The 19,316-nt window shown below is 60.6% G+C and overlaps 1 protein-coding gene across 5 annotated transcripts in view, besides 2 other annotated features; it reads right to left on the minus strand.

Moving 5' to 3' along the window:
* Positions 1 to 19,316, minus strand: part of MAD1L1 (mitotic arrest deficient 1 like 1) — a 417,151-nt gene that overhangs the window by 183,603 nt on the left and 214,232 nt on the right. For all 5 annotated transcript variants that reach the window (NM_001304524.2, NM_001304523.2, NM_001013837.2 and 2 more), the window contains 2 exons: positions 15,105 to 15,245; positions 2,668 to 2,724 (listed from right to left, as the gene is read on the minus strand). In NM_001304524.2, coding sequence (NP_001291453.1) covers positions 2,668 to 2,724; positions 15,105 to 15,245 — 198 coding nt within the window. The remainder of the gene's footprint in view (positions 1 to 2,667; positions 2,725 to 15,104; positions 15,246 to 19,316) is intronic.
* Positions 2,191 to 3,179: an enhancer, noted in NCBI's record as "H3K4me1 hESC enhancer chr7:2041223-2042211 (GRCh37/hg19 assembly coordinates)". NCBI's record gives its function as "activates a minimal SCP1, AML or CMV promoter by ChIP-STARR-seq in primed H9 embryonic stem cells {active_cell/tissue: H9 hESC(primed)}" and the evidence as "EXISTENCE:reporter gene assay evidence [ECO:0000049][PMID:30033119]".
* Positions 15,641 to 15,897: a silencer, noted in NCBI's record as "fragment chr7:2054673-2054929 (GRCh37/hg19 assembly coordinates)". NCBI's record gives its function as "represses an EF-1alpha promoter that drives an FKBP-Casp9 reporter gene in an ReSE screen in phorbol 12-myristate 13-acetate-treated (for megakaryocytic differentiation) K562 erythroleukemia cells {active_cell/tissue: K562(+PMA)}" and the evidence as "EXISTENCE:reporter gene assay evidence [ECO:0000049][PMID:32094911]".

Below are 19,316 nucleotides of genomic sequence, written 5' to 3' on the forward strand. Positions count from 1 at the left end.
TCCGCCTCCCTCCCTCCACTGCGCTCCCCTGGCAAACCCGCCCTGGTAAACCCCATTCCCCATGACTGTGTCTGCTGGGAAGCACCTGAGCGTGGCAGACAGAAGCCTGACGCCCAACCTGGCTCCAAGTTTACACCACAAACCTCAGCGGGACTGCGGGGACCCTCACAGGCCAGTGCGCCTCATGCCCACTTCAGGAGGAGACAGGAAGCTCCAGCAACCTGCTGGCCCCAGCCCCTTTCGATGCCCCTCCACTGCCCCAGCCCTACATCATGCCCGTCACTACAGTAAGGCTCCCTTCAGCATAAACCGCTCTCCCACTGCCCATCGGTAAAGCGAATCTTCCCTCCCGGCTCCAGGCCCAGCCCCTGACCAGGCCCTTCTGGGCCTCTCCTCTCATCAATGAAACGCCGGCCGCAGGGCCCAGGGCAATCCTCTGCTCCCCTTCCGGGTCTTCTCTGCAGTCTGACTGTCCCCTGAAAACACTTCCTTCTCCAGGGCTCTGTGACTGCACCTGCCCTCCACGGAGTACCCCAACTCATGGCTGCTCCCCAAGACTAGATGCCAGGATGCTGGAATGCCCCAAAGAGGCTTGAGCCTCCAGTTCTGACTTCTCTGCTACCTACTCATTCCCAACAACAGAAACACCATGCAGAGCAGATGGGCACCTCTGACCCCAGGGCACCGACTCAAAGCCTCCAGCCCTGTGCATCCAACGTGTGGCAGGCGTGAGACTCCCACACTTCACCCTCAATCTCCCCACCCCATACCATGAGCCCACCCGGGGCGGAATGCCGAAGCCGTCCTTGATTCCCAGCCCTCACGCTCTCTACCTCACCTGCATCTCCCTTCAACGCAGCGGACTCGGACCACGCCTCCGCACGCCATTGCAGTCCTAGCCCAGGGCACCTGCGTCTCCCACCCCGGCCTGCCACTTCCCACCCATTGCGGCCCTGCACAGAGCAGCCAGGCATCCTTTACGAATGGACACCAGGTTGTGTCACCACCTCCTCCACCCATGAAACCACAGCCCTGCCGTGACCACACAGGGCCCACAAGGTTGGACTACCAACCACCGCGGACCCCGCTTCTGTCACCCCTAACCTCACTGTTGGGTCCGGGACCTGCCTGCCCCACCATTTCCACCACCAACAGTCGGGTCCCCCAGGCTTGGCTCAGGACGCTCTGCAGAGCGGCCCCGGGAGAATGCGGCTCCTCCATTCGCCACCACCGGAAGTTCTGTCTTTCACTCTCCTATGGGCCACTGACTACTCACTTGGCAACAGTGTGCCTCCAGGAGGGCAGGAGCCTGTGTTGCTGGCTGCCGCGTCCCCAGCACCAAGAAGAATGTCCTTAAGCAGCTGCTGAGTGAACAGCGACCATTCCAGAGGCTCAGGACAGCTGTTGCCAGCCCACCTGGCCTTGGTCCTGCAGATGCCAGCTCTGCCCAGACCCGCGCGGTGCCCTGCTGTTGCCTCTCTGCGCCGCTGGGCAGCTTCTTCCAGGGTCTGCAGACAGCCCTCGCCCATTCCCAGCCTAGGCCCTGGTGCCCGTACCTCTCAAGACGGTGATTTCCAACCCCATCCAACCCTGTCCCATGAGAAGGGCCTGTAACCATGGCCGCACCCACAACCGCCACAGGCTGTGCTGCCAGCCCCAGAGCCTGTCAAGCAATGAACCCTCAGCACACCCCTGCCGGGTGGAGAGGAAGGCCCTGAGGCCCTGAGAGCCAGGACACCGGCTCACAGTCACGAGCTGGCAAGCAAGGATGCCCGACGGGAGCCTCGACCTGGGCTGCAGGCCCTGGGGTCCGTACAACGCCGACAGCAGCTCTGCCTGTGACCCAGGCCAGCCTGACGCATGGCCCAGGGCAGAACATGCAGACACACGCACGCACGCATGCCCCAGGGCCGTCCTTGTCCTTCACAGACATGGCCAAGGCCAGGGCAGCATGGAGGGAACCTACACTTTGTTTAGGCCAAAACGCTTCAAAAGCAAAGCCCATTTGTTCCCTAAAACAGTGGGAAGCTTTTGACACTGGAGGTCCAGAAACCAGGAGAGCCTGCCTGGTCCCCCACGGGCCCACACTGCGGGCCCCCCACCCAGGCTCGGAGGCAGCCAGGAGAGTGGGGCCCATGTGGGCTGAGGAGAAAACAGCTTAAAAGCACGCCTGCTGCATTCACAGAGGGCAGATAAGCACTCACTAGAGACGTCCCTCTCCTGGTCAGGACCCATGCTGAGTGGCGCCCAAGCCCCGGCTGAGGCACTGTCCCACTGGGGACTCGGGTCCTGTGTGGTCGGGACAGGGGTCCATGAAGCCACAGCACTGATGTCCAGTTCGCTGCTGGACAGACCCCTCGTAGGCTCTCACACCTGCTTTGCCCCGACACCGTGGCCTCATGCGGCAAACATGTCACTGGCCCCCTGCCACAAACACGGTGGTGGGGCCCGAGGGGCTGTGCTCCCCGCCGGCGCATGCCACCTGTCACTAGTAGAGATGGGACTCAGGCTCCTCACACACCCTTCCCCGCTCAACGCAGCTTCCGACGACAGAAGAGGCAGCCATGCACTGGCGCCTGCAGCCTAAAGGCTTATGGGGACAGGCGTCCCTGCCCAGACCCAGGGTCCAGGTGCCCTGAATCCCAGCCACTCCCGCGTCTGACTCACCATGTCTGCTCTTTGTTTCTGGCCTCCCAGCTCCTCCAGGGCCTGCGACAGCTGAGCCTGCAAGACAAGACAGGATTCGGCCTGAGACTGTGGTGGGCCAGGCCCCATTTCTAGGACTGCAGGGAACACAACCCCCACCACCCCGCAGCCTCCACTCTCTGGGGAGCAACGGGACCCAGGAGCTGGGAAGTGGGCAGCCAGAGGGTGGGCAGGGGCCAGTGTGGCTGCCCCGCGAGGCCGAGAGCCCAGTGATGGAGACAACTGATGGAGACGAAGACCGAGTGGGCTGCGGGAGGCTTCACAGAACCAAGGTCCATTCCTAAAACCTGCCTCAGGAAACTGACTGTGAATGGGGTGGACAGGGGTGGGCCCAAGAGGGACTGTGGAACTGGGGAGAGACGGAGGGAAAGGTTCAGCATGGGACTTTCAGTCAGAGGAAATCAATTCACTCTCCCTGGCAGGCTCGTGCTTAAAGAACAGAATCAGGTGACCTTCCAGGCAGAGGCCCCACCTCAGAGCATCTCCTCCACCACGGCCACCCCCAAGCAGGACCCCGACCCAGGCAGGAAGGGTCTCCTGCCCCGACACACTCCCCAAAGGGCACCAGGCTTGACCCCACACTAAGGGTAGAAAAGCCAGCAATGAAAAGCCAGCCGCCTCCTCCTAACAGGCCTCATGGAGCAGCAAGGCTGGGTCTGGTTGTGGGGCCAGGATGTCAGCAGTCCAGCTCCCTGCTGGGGACAGTGACCCTGCACCCATGACCTGCACGGTGCATGGGGCTCAGGACCTCGGAGACCCCCGCCCTGGGCCTCTGCCCCTGCGGTTCCTACCTTCCCCCACATCCTCTCCCTCTGCCCCTTCCTGACTCCTTCCCACGACCCCGCTTGGCTCCCCACTGCCCCCACCACCTAAACACATTGCGGCTCTGTCCTAGAACCTGGGAGGAAGGGCGAGGCAGGGGGCCTTGTGAGACCCCCCCAGGCCACAGCACACAGGAAAGTCCGGGAAGGAGATGGAGGGCCAGCCCAGGAGTGAGGCAGGTGGCTGTGGTGGGGTGTGGGATCTGCGGGGTGGAGGCCCAGCAGGCCTGAGGGTGAGGGAGAAATCGAGAGGCAGGCAGATGCCTGGCCCAGCGGCAACTGGAAACCACCAGGCAAGTCACCAGGAGAAACGGGAGAGAGGCGGGGAGGCGTGTGTATGTGCGTGTACACAAGTGTGGGTATGTATATGCACACCTGTGTGTGGCATGTGCACATGTGGTGGGGATGGGGGAAGTATGTTTGGAGACACAGAAAACAAGGCACTACAGCCCCTGGGGACACAGCCTGGGGAAAGTGGCTGAGGCAACAGCCCACAGTCCTCAACCTGTCCGCTCTGCAGACCATGGGCCCCCAAGCTCCCCTACAGGCCCAGCCAGAGCCAGGCTCTGGACTTCCCACGGGCTATCCTGGTGCCTGCTGGTTCTGGACGCCACAGCAGAGTCAAACCCAGGCTCCAGGTGCTCCCGTGGAGGCTGCAGGTGTGAGCACCTGAGCCTCCCAAGCCTCTGGTGTGGGGCCTCACTCAGTGGGGCCACCGGAGGGACCCCCATTGCCCAACACCCCTGTGCAACGCCTGTGGATGAGGGGAAGGCCTTGAGCTCTGCCCATGACCAGCCCCGCCTGCTGCCCTCACACTGCCCTGGGGGAGGCCCTGGAGCCAGCCTAGCCACTGTCATCAGGAGGCAGGTGGCCGTGGCCACGCTGGGCTGTGTGGACCCCACACTGGAAAGCTTGGTGCCTCGAGGCCTAGGAGCAGCACACTGCCCTCCTCACAGCCAGCTGAACCCTGGATAATCCGGCCACTGCTGGGGTCACCAGCAGCTGGGACTGGGAACGGCAGATGGAAGAGGGACATCCCCCAAACTGGGCCTAGACACAACGCACTTCACCGAGCTGCAGCCCTGGGCACTCCCGGGGGCACAGGGAGCCGGGTCGGGGCATCCAGGGCACCCCATGCCCCTGGGCAGAGCCTCAGCACATGGGAGGCAGCTGCAGTCCACACTCAGGCTCTCCTCACGCAGCCCTACACCCCGCCCAGGTCTACCAGCACCCACAGGCCACCAGGCCAGAGAGCAGCCCAAACAGGGGGGACGACAACAAGGCTCTGAGGTGGCCTGGGCAGTGAGACGCACCCATGAGAGCTGCCCGCACCCCTGGCAAAGCTCTGAGCTGGCCTGGGCAGCGAGATGCACCCGTTAGAGCCACCCACACCCCTGGCAGCCCGTCCATGTCCGCCACACCCGGCACACTGTCCTGGGCACACAGGCGGCTGGCACGATGGGCACCGGCCTCAGGTGACAGCTACAGGTGAGGCACATCGTCATCCCCATTTACATCAGTTCACATGGCAACCTTGCAAGGTCAAAGGCACTTTACAGGAGCAGCTTAGAAGAGGCAGGGTCGTCCGGAAGCAGCAGGGCTGAGAGCTGTGCGCGAGGCCCGGACCAACCACGCTCTCCTGTGCCTCCCGACACAGAATCACTGCAGGGTGGAGCCGTGACCACGGTGGCCAGCCCAGGGTCCTGCCGAGGCCAGGCAGGCCACAGCAGCCTCAGCCTTCACAGCCTCCGGCGCCACGCGGGCAGGCTGCAGGCATTTTCCGAAGGCTTCATCAGGTTTCTGTGAGGACAGCACTGAGTGATGTGTGTCTGAAGACAAGTTCATTCACAAGCGGCTCATCAGCCTGAGGCCGAGGCGTCCACCTCCGTACCAGCCCCATTCAGCCTAGCACTTCCATCGATGGCTGGAAAAAACAGAACGCATGCATCTGAAATCCTCACATGACCCAGGGCCTGGAAACACAGACACCAGTGAGATTTCTGATACATCCTCAAAGCCACAGTCGCTGGCGAAAGGTGACTCGGAGCCAAGGAGCCCTGAACTCAGACTCGCGCACTGGTCTCGGGTACCTGGGCAGGGCCTGCTTGGAGCAGCTCCCGTGAGAGTGCAGCCCCGGGATGCGGCCAGGAGGACGACCGCACGTCAGCAGGAGCAGCTATGGCTCGGCTCACACGCAGGGCCCTGGGTTCAAGAAGGCAGACATCGACGAGCTGAGTGCTCCCCAGGAGGCGACCAGGACAGCAGAGGGCATCACAGGAGCCATCCAGCCATGAAGACAGACGGCTTACAGACAGTGAGAGCCACCTTTCACTGAAGACTGAACACACAGGTGTCACTCAGACTGCAAAGAGACATCCACGGGGTCCTGTGTGACCCAGGAAGTTCTGTGTCTTCGCCTGCATTAGGGGGGTTACACACACACTCGCTCTGTCGTCCGACAGGCTGAAAACTTACAATCTGTGCACTTTGGTGTATTGTGTTATATTTCCATTAAAACATATACTCTAGCACCCTGGGGGACGAATTAGGGAGGAAAAGAAGGACGGTTCTGTTACCATAAAGAGAAATGGTTTCATCCAGGCACCGTGCTCATGCCTGTGACACCAGCATTTAGGGAGGCCAAGGCAGGACAACTGCTTGAGGTTAGGAGTTCGAGACCAGCCTGGACAACATACAGAGATCCTGTTTCTATAAAAAATTTAAAAATCAGCTGGGTGTGGTAGCACACAACTGTGGTCCCAGCTACTCAGGGAGCTGAGGCAGGAGGATCTCTTGAGACCAAGAGGTTGAGGCTGCAGTGAGCCATGACTGGGCCACTGCACTTCAGCCTGGGCAACAGAGTGAGACCCTGTGTCAAAAAAACAAAAACGAAGATGTAAAACAAAACAAAAAAAGTTCGTTTGTAACCGGCTGCATCTTCCCAAATGGATGGCCAAATGGGACACTGCACAACCCTGAGTCAGAGGTGACTCCAGGCGGAGGGTTCTCAGCAGAGCAGCCACCAGACAGAAGCTCAGCACGCAGAGGGGCCGGAATTCCAGGAGTGTGAAATGGAGAGCACGCTCCATGGGCATGGAGATGGGGGAGCGGCAGGGAGGCAGGAGGGAGCTCAGGTCTGGCTTATAGACATTCTACAGCACAAGGTTTGTGGGTGCAGGACACCTCAGCCACCTCTCACTCATAACCTGAAAAGACACGTGTGGGTGCTCCTAAGAACAGAGCCATGGAACACCGAGAGAACACAGACGAGCAGGCCCTGTGGCCATTCAAGGACACACACTGCTGTCTGCAGCTCCAACAGGGTAAGTGGTCAGACATGAAGTTTCCAAGTAACAAAAAAGAATGTTTTACATGGGAGCGGGTGTGGACAGGGCAGGAGGGAGTTGGGAGAACGAAGGTGGCTGTGGCCTGGGGTGTCAGCCACAATGCGTGCCTGTCCTGGGCCTCCCCAGGTTCTGTGGAGGGAGGGTGTGAGAAGCTCACAGCAGAGTCCCAGCACCGAGGAGCATTTGGCAAACGTCCACTCCTCCCTCACCTTATTGTTCCAAGAACACAGCTAAAGTAAGAAAAACAAAGAAAACACCGAAACCCGCACGGCCCAGCACAGGAGAGACGGGACATCACTAAACCCGCACGGCCCAGCACAGAAGAGAGAGGACATCATTAAACCCGCACAGCCCAACACAGGAGAGACGGGACATCACTAAACCCACACAGCCCAACACAGGAGAGACAGGACATCACTAAACCCGCACGGCCCAGCACAGGAGAGGCGAGGCAGGACATTGGGGTCCCGAGAGACCCAAGACGACGCTCTCTGTGTGCGCAGAGGAGGCTCCCAGATGGGGCACCAGGAAGCTTTGGGGGACAGGCTCTCATGGGCTCCAAAATGCGCTAGAACTTCTCCTTCTGGACAAGCTGTAGGAACCAGCACAGACACACCCCCCACCTCAGTCCCCAGACACCAGATACAACACAAGGAACAGTGGGATTCCTGCGAGGGAGGGCAGGCAGCTCAGAGCTCAGAGCCGCGGGAGGGGATGGGGTGAGTCCCCCAGGACGCAGGCCGGGGCAGTGCCACAGACAGAGCCCAGCAGGCCTGCTGGGTGAGGAGAGAGGAATGGGAACTCCAGGAGGCACAGATGGGCAGCTGGGCCTGGCAGGCCAGCACCAGACAGAGGGAAGGGACCTGAACAGACGCCACCAGAGAAGAGGCGCCGAGGTGGAGAAGCACGGGAAACGCTGGGCACGTCAGTCACTGGAGACACACAGATTGAAGCCAGGGCTAAATGTGCTGCTGCCCCGCTGGATCCAGATACCAAAGCCGACAGTGCCACAGCGGAGCGTTCTCCCAGCTCTGGTGCCGACAGCCTGTGCAGTAACGCGTCACTGGACCCCGCGTGTTGCCACGGTATGGCCGCTGGGAAGAGCCTGGCAATGTCTTAAGAAGTTAGGGCCCGGCCCGGTGGCTCACGCCTGGAATCCCAGCACTTTGGGAGGCCGAGGCGGGTGGATCACCTGAAGTCAGGAGTTTGAGACCAGCCTGGCCAACATGGTGAAATTACTAAAAATACAAAAATTAGCTGGGTGTGGTGGTGCATGCCTGTAGTCCCAGCTACTCAGGATACCAAGGCAGGAGAATCACTTGAACCCGGCAAGCGGAGGCTGCAGTGAGCCAAGATCACGCCACTACATTCCAGCCCGGGCGACTGAGCGAGACTCTGTCCCCACACTGTCCCCGCCAAAAAAAGTTAAACCCCACAATCCTACTCCTGGATGTAGAGCCCAAAGGAATGAAAACCTGCATTCACAGGAAGTCTGGCACGCAGATATTCACAGCAGCTCTGTCCCAGCTGGCAAGAATGGGAAACCACCCTGGTATTGGTCAGTGGGTGAACAGACGAGACCATTTTGGTAGAGTCTCAGGATAGAGAATTATTTTGTAATAAAAGTAAATGAACTGCTGATACAACGTTGATGGGTCTCAAAAGCTCTGTGCTCAGTCAGAGATGACAGACACAGCAACTGCAGGACTCTGTTTACGTGAAGTTCCAAGAAAGCCCAAAACAACAGTCACAGGCCCCAGACCGGTGTCTCTACGAGCCAGGGGTGGCAGGAAACTGACGGTCAACATGGATCAAATCATACAGATAAAGCTGGGGGATTTTACTGAGTATAAATCATATTTCAATAAGGCTGCCTTTAAAACATGGAATCCCCAGAGCTCGGGGAGAACCACACTCACAAGGGCGAGGAGCTGGCACAGCCCGTGTGTGCACTGGAGAGCAGCTCCCGCAGGGCCTCAGACAGCGCAACTCCAGGCTGGTCTCGGTAGGGTTCCTCCAGGAAACCGCATCTGTGATGGAGGCAGTGGGTGGGCGGCAGAGCACCCCCTGTGGAAACACCCTGGACAGTGCACTTTAGCACTGACTGTGGGGCTGCCCAGTCACCTTCGGGGGACACAGACACCTCTCACTCTCTGGGTGACCGGGTGGAGCCCCCAGGCCCTGGCCACAGCGTCCTCACCTCTGAGACAAGAGCTCCCCAAGCTCAGGTTGGCTCCGCAAGGCAGTGTAGGGTGCAGCCTGTTCTGATGCGGAGATGGTGGGATGGAGAGAGAGCTTCCCAAGGCCCGGGGTGGGGGCTGGGCTGACGGCTGGGAACACCAGATGCCAAGCCTGCTCGCAGGCAGGCCAGGCACTTCCCCAGCCTCAGCCCCTCCTCCACAGCCCACCCCGGGCTGGGTGCAGACACACAGGAAGCTCAGGTGGGAAGGAACACGGCTCCATCCCAAACAGCCTCAGACGCAGACACGCAGGAAGCTCAGGGGGGGAAGGAACACGGCTCCATCCCAAACAGCCTCAGACGCAGACACGCAGGAAGCTCAGGTGGGAAGGAACACGGCTCCATCCCAAACGACCTGACGCAGTGCTCGGGTTCCCCAGGAGAGGCCAAGCCCACTCGGAGCCAGGCTTCAGGGGCACACACCAGGGAGCACTGAGGGGTGCGGAGGCTGTGGGGAGAGGGTTTCATCACATGGCGGGAAAACCAGTACGAGCAGGCCCCCAGCGCAGCCACGCCCCGGCCCCGCAACCCTGGCACCGAGTGACCAGGGAGCTGCCTCCACCCAAGCAGCTGAAGGGTCACACACAGCTCTTTCCGGGTGGGACCACGTGTCCCGGGTGGCTACGTGTGCTGAGACACGAGCCCCGGGCCCTGGCGCCCTTGGCACCACCGAGGTGCTGCACAGAGGCCTCAGCCGGGCTATTTTTATCCTGAGGTGAGAAGTTGCTGCCTGTGATCCAACACTCCTGCCAGCCAGGACATGGCAGAAAATGGCTAGGACAGGCAGCCACAGACCCCAGCAGCCACAGGACAGCCGGACTGAGGAGGACCAGAGGGCACCAGGCACAGACCCCACACACGGTACAAAGGCTGGAGCTAGGGGAAGGCAGCCCCACCGGTGGTCATGGTCACGGTCACGTGGAAAAGGATGGGACGGAAGCTCAGGCCTCCACCTTCCTGGCCAGGTCTCCAAGTGGCTTGTGACACAACGTGAAGAAGCAGGAGGCGGCACACCACAGGGTCCCCACAGGGCTAACCAGGCCACAGCCCCAGCACCTGCCCCTGGGTGAGGCTGTACACAGAAGCTCTCCCTGTGGGTGGAGGTCTGAGGATGACTGTGAGCCCAGCGCTGGCCACAGAGCACACAACAGGCAGTCAGTGCACGGTCAGGGGCTCCACTGCAGCCCCTGATGCAAGGAAGGCTAGGGGGTGGACGCCCAGGCCCTGGGGGATGCTCTGAGGGTGGCAGCAGGTCCTCCCATGGTGGAGAGGACAGAGCCTGCCCTGGGCTTATTCCTCACGCCCAGCAACGTCAGCTCCTGTGCTGGGCAGCGGTGCTCTAAGTGTGTGCTGCCGGGGGTGGCACCGGCGTGTCACGGGGAGCCCGGCTCAGCGCAGTTCTGTACTGCACAGACGCCCCGTTCTGGGAATGGAGCCAGCACCTCGCGATTCCCACTGAGGACCTGTGGCCACACAGCAGAGGCTCCCACAGCCCAGACTCCAGGGTGGTTTCCATAAACCCCTTGGCCCACTTTTCTTCACTGCATGATTTTTAACAGGTTTTTTTTTTTTTTTTTTTTTTTGGCTTTATCTCTGCTTCGTACAGTACAGTCATCTCAAGTTCTTTCAATGAGGGAAACATCACCAACACACTCACAAGTATTGGGCCTGGTGAACAACCCGAGGCCCTGAAGATCAGGCTCTCCCCAGCCCTCCTGGAGCCAAACCACCCACGGCAGCCAAGTGACAGCACCCGCAGAGCTGCCCGAGCCTCTGGGAGGTCACGGGGAGGAAGGGAAGACGGAAACACCGTGACGGCCACTTCTGCCTAAATCGTTAGGAACTATTTCAGAGTCCCTGCAACCTGAAACGGGGATTCTCCACACACCTCCACACGGCCAGCAGCGCAGTAATCGCTTTTAATTAAATAAATCGGAAACACAAATCAGGCCAATGTGTTGAATCAAGGTGGCGTGCACTGCGTATTTATAGCTCTATCCACAGAGGACTCCTGACACATGCTACGGGCTCCCGCAGCCGCTTTATTAAATGGAATAAATAACACCGTGCAAGACGGCAAAACTTCACCAGACGGGTCTGGGGTTCTCCCAACTCAACACTGTTTTCCTGCAACGTCTCTGCTAGAATGAAAACATGGTCCAGATGAGAACAGACTGGTGTCTGGTTTAGCTAACGGGTGGGTGGAAGGGAACCACTCTCAGAGCGATGCTGCATCCTCCCGCTGGCGACTACCCCGAGCCCACCTGGCGGTCAGGTAGCAGATCCTCACCTGCCCCGAGAGGCGCCTTCCCCAGGGGCATGCGCAGGGCCGGGCAAGCTTCCAGGGAAGGCTTGCGAGGCCCGAGGTCAGAAGACATAGGAGTGTGAGTGGGGGACAGAGGGGTGAACAGAGGCCAAGGGAGAGGGAAAGATGGAGACAGGAACTATCAGACATGCGTGCAGAGGACAGAAAGAAAATCAAGAAGGGAAAAGGAGACGGGAAACAGAAAGAAAAGAAAAACCGGGTGGAGGTAGCAGGGAGAGAGGGAGGCAGGGGGTTCGGGGGGAGCACCTGGGCTCTGTGGGGTCAGGAGCCCTCCCCGGCTGGGGCGATGGCGGCCCCCCACCCCCCGACCGTGAGGAGAAGAGGAGACGGGCCCTTCACAGAAACCAACAGCCAGAGACACGCGGCATGTGCAGGGTCTCCAGAGCAGCCCCTTGGCCCTCCACGGGGGCATCCCTGGCTTGGGCTGGCGTCCCTGCCCCAGGGGCTCCCTGTGCACAGAGGGTGCAGCCACCCTTGCCACACTTCATGTGCAGCCGCGCCCCAACCTTCCCTGGAGCATAGCACTCCTGCTGGGCCCCCGCCTTCACCTTGCAAACATGCTTAGTTCCCAGAGTTGGGGCCACGTTCTCCCGAACTTGCGCCACATCCATGAGGAGGTGGGGAGCCCCCAGCAGATGCTCCCCTGAGGCAGGAACCCAGCCCAGGAGCTGGCGGCACCCCCAGCCTCCCACCCGACTGTCACTTCAGGGAAAGGCAGGGCACAGGCTCCGCAGGTGACCTGGTCCCGCTGAGGCAGAAAGGCAGGGACACCTCTCCCAGGCTCCTGGGAGGAAAGAGCTGACGCGGAGGTGCCCCCTCTGATGAGGCAAGGCATCAGGTCACGCTGTCATGCAGGATGTGGTGGTGGCTGCTCCACAGACCCCAGAGGGCAGTGGCACCTGCACAGGCTCAGGGAACAGCCAGGGGCCTGGAAGACCTCTCTGGAATCTGTGCCAGCAGCCGATACCGTGGCTGTCTCCATCAACACAGACAGGCCAGTGCAGCGGGGTCCTGGGGGGAGACTGCAGGTGCTGGCCTGCTTCTGGAGGGTACCCAGGGGGATGGGCAGAGGAGGCTGTGAGGGCTCAGGGAGGACCAGCCGTGTGAACTCCCACAGTGAGGACTAGTCAGTGCTGGTGGAGTCTGACCCTGCTCTAGCCCTGCTGGGCCCAACTCTTCTATGTGCCTAATTCTCCTGAAACCCCAGGAGACAGACAGGAAGGGGAGTAACCTGCCCCCACACCCCACCATGGGAAGGGAGGGGCAAGGTCCGCAACATACATCCCACTAGCAGGGTGAGGGCTGAGGCTCCAAGCTGCCCGGCAAGGGGGCAAGCACGGTGCCCAAACAGTGCCAGCATCTGGTCAATGAGTCCTGAGGTCCCTGACAGCCCTGATCGCCTTAACACACAAAACACCAGAACCCAGGACTCTGGATGTGCCCACGGCCAGGCCCGTGACGAGCCAATCACAGTGCAGAGGGCAAGCACAGGCTGGAGAAATCGCTCAACGTGGAAAACGCCAGGGACGGCAGAAGGGGTCAGAGACCCTCCCCGCAAATCTCTCTTCATTAATGCTTCACAGGGAGCCAAGGGTGTTGCAATGAGATGGCTATTAACGCACTTAGGTTTACGACAGCTCCCAGGTACAGCCGGAGCTAGCCTTTCCCGTGACGACTGAAGGTCAGTGTGCAGCCCTCCGCAGCAGGCCCTGCACGCACGGGATGGCTAGACACAGAAAGGAAAGCCAGGAGCGGGAGGAAGGAGGATGGACAGAGGGGGCAGGGCATCAGAAGAACACACCAGGGGGCAGTACCAGTGCCTGAGGGTGGTCTCACACCCAGGGTTCACTCTTGTCAAGCGTGGTGGTGGTTGAGGGCTCACCCATAGGTGGGGACACGGCATAGTTCCAGGGCCCTTCGGCGTGGCCTCCATGTGAGCAAGGGGTAGCGAGTGCATGTGGGCCCTGGGCCTGGGGCCTCCTGGGCTGGGACCTGTCATTCTCGCCAAGTGCCATCCCCAGTGCCTGAGCCTCTGTGCCCACGCCCCCTCTAAACCACTGAACCATCTGCCAAGCAGCTTTCTAGATGTAGTTTGGCGACCTCCTTCTCCCATCTTCCCTGAACAGCTGCTGGGACGCCCATGCAGCGCAGCTCCCTGAGACCCTCCATTACAATCCTTTCTCCAGAAATTCAGCTCCTCCTAACATCCCACATGAATTATGTTTGTTCATTAAATGTCTCCCCTACCCAGCAGCTCGGCTCCAGGGGCCAGAGGCTCTGTCAGACTTTCCCTGGCACACGGCCCAGCCTGCTGTGTGTGCTCAGCAGCCCGGCTGGAAGGTGGCTGTGGTCACGCCTGTGAGGCTGGCTCTCCATCGGGGGACCCAGGTCATCTTCCAGCTGGTCACTGGCTGAATGAGGAAAGGACACAGCAGCCTACAACAGGGCAACAGGCCACACCGATGCCATCATCTGCATCTCCATCTCACCGCAGTCTCCACCATCAAGGCCCAGCCCAGACACAGTGACCCTTGAGACCAAAGAGCTCACAGAGCTCGGCTGTTCAGCTGTGCTCGCAGACACCACAGGCCCAGGCCCTCTGAGATGTGGCCTGGCGGTGTCACACACCAGCTCGGTGACCTGGGCATGTCCCTTGACGCCCCCAGGCCTGGGTTTCCTCGTGAGCGAAATTCGGATCACAACGGCACCCACTCCATAGGATACGGTGACAATGAGACTGAGCAGTCAGGTAAAGGGCCAGGCAGAGCAGAATGGTAAGGCACCCGGCGGCGGCGTGTGCCAGCGAGGCCAGAAGACCCTGGCAGGTATCCCACCACGCCCAGGCGGGGCTGCACTGTGCCCACGGAGAAGTGGTGCAAATCCTGAGAGGAGAACACGGGCCTTTCAAGCTCCAGGCTGGGAACGGTGTGCTAGGAGCCCCCGGCCCCAGTGTAGATGAGAAGTGTGGATGGGGAGTGTGGACGTGGCCTCCGCCCAGGCCCTGCGATACCCAGCTCCTTCTTCCCACTGCACAGGTGAGAGCTGCTCAGAGCTAGACAAGGGCACGGAGCGTCACGGTGGCCCATGGGGCAGGGAAAAGGCAGAAGCCAAGGCTGAGGCCACCTCTCCTGGGAGAACCCTGGAGCCAGGAGAGGGATGCAGCCTGGAGGCTGCAACAAGGAGGAACACCTCTCCCAGTTCCACAGGGAGCTGGGCGCCCTGGGCCTCACACCCTGCCCGTCAGGCCCCAGCAGAGCCTCCCCAGCAGCGGGGACTAGAGCCCTGGCAACAACTCTGAGCACCCGGAGACCAGGTCTCCTTGGCAGATGCCCCTCACAGGGGAAGGACCTTGAGTGCCCCTTTGGCAGGCATCATGAGGCGGTCCTAACCAGTCAAAGGGGCACTGTCCCTCTGTCATCCGCTTGCAGGCTGGGACCACCTGAGACACCCTGACAGCGGAGGATGCTGCAGGTGCCATCGTGAGAATTAACGTGGATCCACATGCAGAGGAAGCAGCCCGTGGACACCCTCCCTGACAGACACCTGCCAGCCGGGAACTGGGGAGGCGGGGTCCAGACCTCCACCTCCCCGCCGCAGGCTCTGCCAAGGCCCACCGGGAAGAAGCCCCACCTGGCGACGTGAGCCCCACGCCCGCGGCCCCTCACCTCCATCTCGGCGCTGTGGCTGTGCACCTTCTGCACCATATCCTCAGCCTCCCGCATGCGCCGCGTCAGCTGGGGTGAGTACTCGGCCGGGGTCAGCTCGCTGTCGTAGGACCCCAGGATGGCCCGCATACCGTCCCGCTCCTGTGGACACAGAGGGCAGCTGATCAGGACCCGGGACGGGGGATGAGGTAATGATGGAGACGGCTCAGGGAAGGCCCCACGAGAGCTGGGTCACGCGGGGGCTCCCTCGTGAGGACCCAGGCCAGCACTCAGAGCCCACCCCTGAGGGCCCACCAAAGTGAAGAGGGCCCCAGAGTTCAGCATCCCCAGACCCAGTAAATGCCAGCAGCCCTGGCTTTGCCTCGGCACCCGCTCTGACCACGTCAGGCCTTCACTACAGCGGGTGTGGGCTCCACCTCGTACCGGCAGTATGGCTATGGGGTCGGCTGGGAGCAGACGCCTCTGCCCCTGTGGACACAGCACACACAAGGCGAGGGCGCACAGTGGGCAGAAGCCCAGGTTCCCCACCCCAGCCTGTTCTATTGGGTCTGCGTGACTCCTCTGAGTCCCAGTCACACTGGGCCCAGGGAAACGACAGTGGGCAGGCCCAGAGCTGGGTGAGTCCCCCTCTTCCTGGGACCTCTGCCCGGACCTGTCGAGGGAGGGGACAGTGTGCACCAGGAAGCTGCTGCGTTCCAATGGGACAGGAAACCCATCGCTCGTCCAACCGCCCAGGGCTCTCGGGAAGGCTGAGTCCCCGCTTTTCAGCTCTGGGCTGGGGAGCTCCTTGTCTTCCCACAGAGCTCCCAGGATGTCGGAGGCCACACGCAGATCCCTACAGAGCAGCCAGGCCCAGCAGGGCTCAGCTTCCTGGGATGACACTGACCACAGTGTCAGGGCTGATTCCTAGAGCCGGGCAGAAACCCCTGCTCAGTTGTGTCCTGCCAGCCAGTCAGGGGCCCCGGGAGCTGTGTGCTGCCTCCAGACCCTGCGGGTGCCCATGGGTCGGGAACTGAGCTGCCAAGATGGCCCCCAAAAAGGACGTGCTGCTGCGGGGAAGTGTGGTCTTCCCTCTGGCCTCCCATTGCCTGCACTCCCTGCCCCAGGTGTGGGCCTGAACCACAGCCCCCGGACCCTTCTGGTCTCAGACGCTGAGTCTGGATGGAGCAGATTCCAGGCGCAGGCTGGCGACCTTCTCCTGCCTGTCCGCCCTGCGTGAGCCCACAGGAACCACATGATCAGGGAGCCAGCCCTCCAGACACCCACCCAGGTGTGCGGGAGGGCAGCTTCCAGATCTTCACGGGCATCTGGATGCCCTGGACGTAGATTCAGGGTGGGCCTGGGAATCTGCCCTTCTAACATGTGCCCCAGGGACATCTAACTGATGCTCTCAGCAGCCTCTGCTGAGGGGCTCTGCCCCATTCTTGAGAGATGGAGGATGAGGATGCTGGGGTAGTAGAGCCCAGGAAGAAGCGGATGGGTATCTATAAGATGCAGGTTCAAGCCCCAGCTCTGTCCTGAGGCCAGCTATTCAACCTCCCTCCCCAAGTCTCAGTTCCTTTGTTGATAAGATGGGAAATGGGGTGGCCATGAAGACTGATGCTGTCAGGAATGAACTGTCCAGCCAGCTGCCCTGGAAACAACAGGTGCTCAAGAAGCGAGAGCCAGGACCTCACAAACCCGGGAAGCGGTCTCCACTGGCCCACACCCCTTCCCAACACACATGCTGCGCAAGGGGCCAATGCTCCGGCACAGCCCTGCACCACCTCATTGAGTTGTGGCCAGCGTGCTCCCCACCAGGTGAGGGCAGGAGAGCTGTGGGGACCGCCCCCACCAGTACTGGCTGAAAGGGCAAATTCATGGCCCTGATAGAGACCAGCTCACTCAGGCAGCCTGGGGAGCAAGACCCCCACCCAGAAGCGGAGTGCACAAAACTGCCAGGGTCCCTTCCGTGCGGCCTCCTGAGTCTGCACGTACACAAGCTGAGCCCCCGCCCAGGCCCCGCCTGGCTCCTAGGAGAGACCGACCCAGTGCTCCCCAGCACTGATGACTGCCTGGCCCCTGCCAGGCCCTCGGTCTATCCCCCACAGGCGAGGAGGGCGAGGCTGCAGGGGCTCAGGAAACCCCGGCCTGCTCTCTCAGAAGACCCTGGAGCTCAGGCCGCCACGTCTGGGGCTCTCCTGCCGTCTGTCTCTTGAGCCAGGGACACAGGTGCCACCCTGGTGTGGACTTCATAATTAGCTGATGACAAAAAATTCAAAATTCAATAAGTGAGAAATTAAAGTTACAAATCCAACTAGAACGGGTCACGTATCTGTGGAAAATTTGTTTGCACAGGAAGGTTTATCGTGTGTCATAATCTTATTGAAATCCTATATCTTCCCATTGACTTTTATCGTTTCAAGCCAGTTACCGGAGTTGTCAGTACCAACGCGCGGACGCCGCGCAAGGCCGGGGCGGGGGACTTCCCTTGGTAAACAAGCTGTAATTGTCTCTTTTATTGATCAGTAAATCTCTGAGAGCTTCTCTTCGTGACGGCTCTCTTCAGCCTAACTCCAGGCTAGCACTGGCTGGCACAGAAGAAAAGCATTAGAAAGTTTGTTGTTTGTACCCTTTCAAGAACCTGTTTTGTCACCGGTAGTGAAACAGCAGGCACGGTGTGGGTGTGACTTGCTATGACTTTTTAACAGCTGACTCCACCTGCGGGCAAGTCCACTTCATTTCCACCTCAGCAAATGCGGTGATTAACTGCTGAACAAACAGGCGGCTGGCAGTGCTGACGGGGGCGTCCCAGACTCGCTTTAAGAAGCACCCAGCAGAGTTACATTGTCCACTGGCTGCTCCTCCTTAGGTACAGAAACGTCCCGGTTCTAAGGAATAGAATGTGCTCATCATGCAACGAACGGCCATGTGAAGAGAAGGTGAGCAGTCGGCATCACCTGGAAGAAGTCAGCTGAGGACAGGGCCTCGGTGCCCTGGATACACCGGCCGATGGGGGCCGGGGGCAGCAGTAGAGGGCGGCTCTGCCCTGGCCTGCGATAGTCGGGCAGAGGGGCTGCTCACCCAGGGAGGCTGCAGGAAGGATCTGGGCGCCCTGGGAGGCAGCGGTGGGGAAGGGCACTCCAATCAGAGGGAACAGCGTTGAGTAGGCGCCCAGAGGACCCTTGCGAAAGAGCAAGAGAGATAATGACGCTCATTCCCTCATCAGCAGGTGCTCCGGCGCGCTAATTACCACAGAGCTTTTGAGTATAAGCCCCAAGCATGCCGATGATTCCCACGCAATGAGAGACAGATTCCCAAAGAGGCTGAGAACGCCATAGCAGGGGGCAGGACACCTGGGCAGCAGGGGCTGAGACAGTGGGCAGAATAGGGCCCAGTGCCCTTGGAAGAAGAAACCCAGGGCACAGCCCTTGGGCCTGGGCTTGGGAAGGGCAGGGGAGATCAGAGCAGCGAGACCAGGAAGCCGAGACAGAGACCAGGGCTGCGGGTGGTGAGAGCACCCACAGGAGCGGGAGACTGCAGGACGCCGGCCCTGTTGGAGGTGCTGCAGGCAGGGGAGATATGGACGGAGGCACCGCAGTGGGCAGAGACCGGCCCCGTGGCCCCCAAGCAGCGGTCACTTGAGGTGTGCATGCCCAGGCCAGCCCCCAAGTCAGACCCAACACACACACCCAACGAAGCCCACATCCTGCCTGGACCGTAACTAGATGTGTGACCTTGGGAAAAACAAAGAGCCTCTCTGAGTGTGAGGACACTCAACCACACAGGAGAGGGCAGAGAACGCCTCAGCCTCACTGCGAAGTTCAAATGCAGCATGGCACAGAAAACCAGGCACACGGAACCCGCATACACAGGCGATGAATGCACGGCAGCCACGGTGGTCACTTCTGTCCTCGCTGCTGTCTGCCTGGTTCTTCCACTATGACTACAGCTGCTCGTGAAAGATGGCCAGGAGAGCAGGCAGGTGGGGCAGGCGCGTCCCGCACGATGGGGACAGCCTCTGGCCATGGCCACGCCTGGTGAGGCAGGCGCCCAGCACTCCCTAAGTCCACACCATGGACACAGAGGGCTTCCCTCCTGGGAGTCAGTGGCAGCCTGAAGGGGCTGTGTGAGGCAGGCAGGCAGCTCCATATGCAGAGGCCCCTCCTTAGAGCCCCAGCACCAACCCCCACTTTCCAGAGAAGCCCAGAAGTAAGCTGAGTACCGCGTGCC

Source organism: Homo sapiens, chromosome 7 (genome assembly GCF_000001405.40).
Source record: "Homo sapiens chromosome 7, GRCh38.p14 Primary Assembly".
NCBI classification, from domain to species: domain Eukaryota; kingdom Metazoa; phylum Chordata; class Mammalia; order Primates; family Hominidae; genus Homo; species Homo sapiens.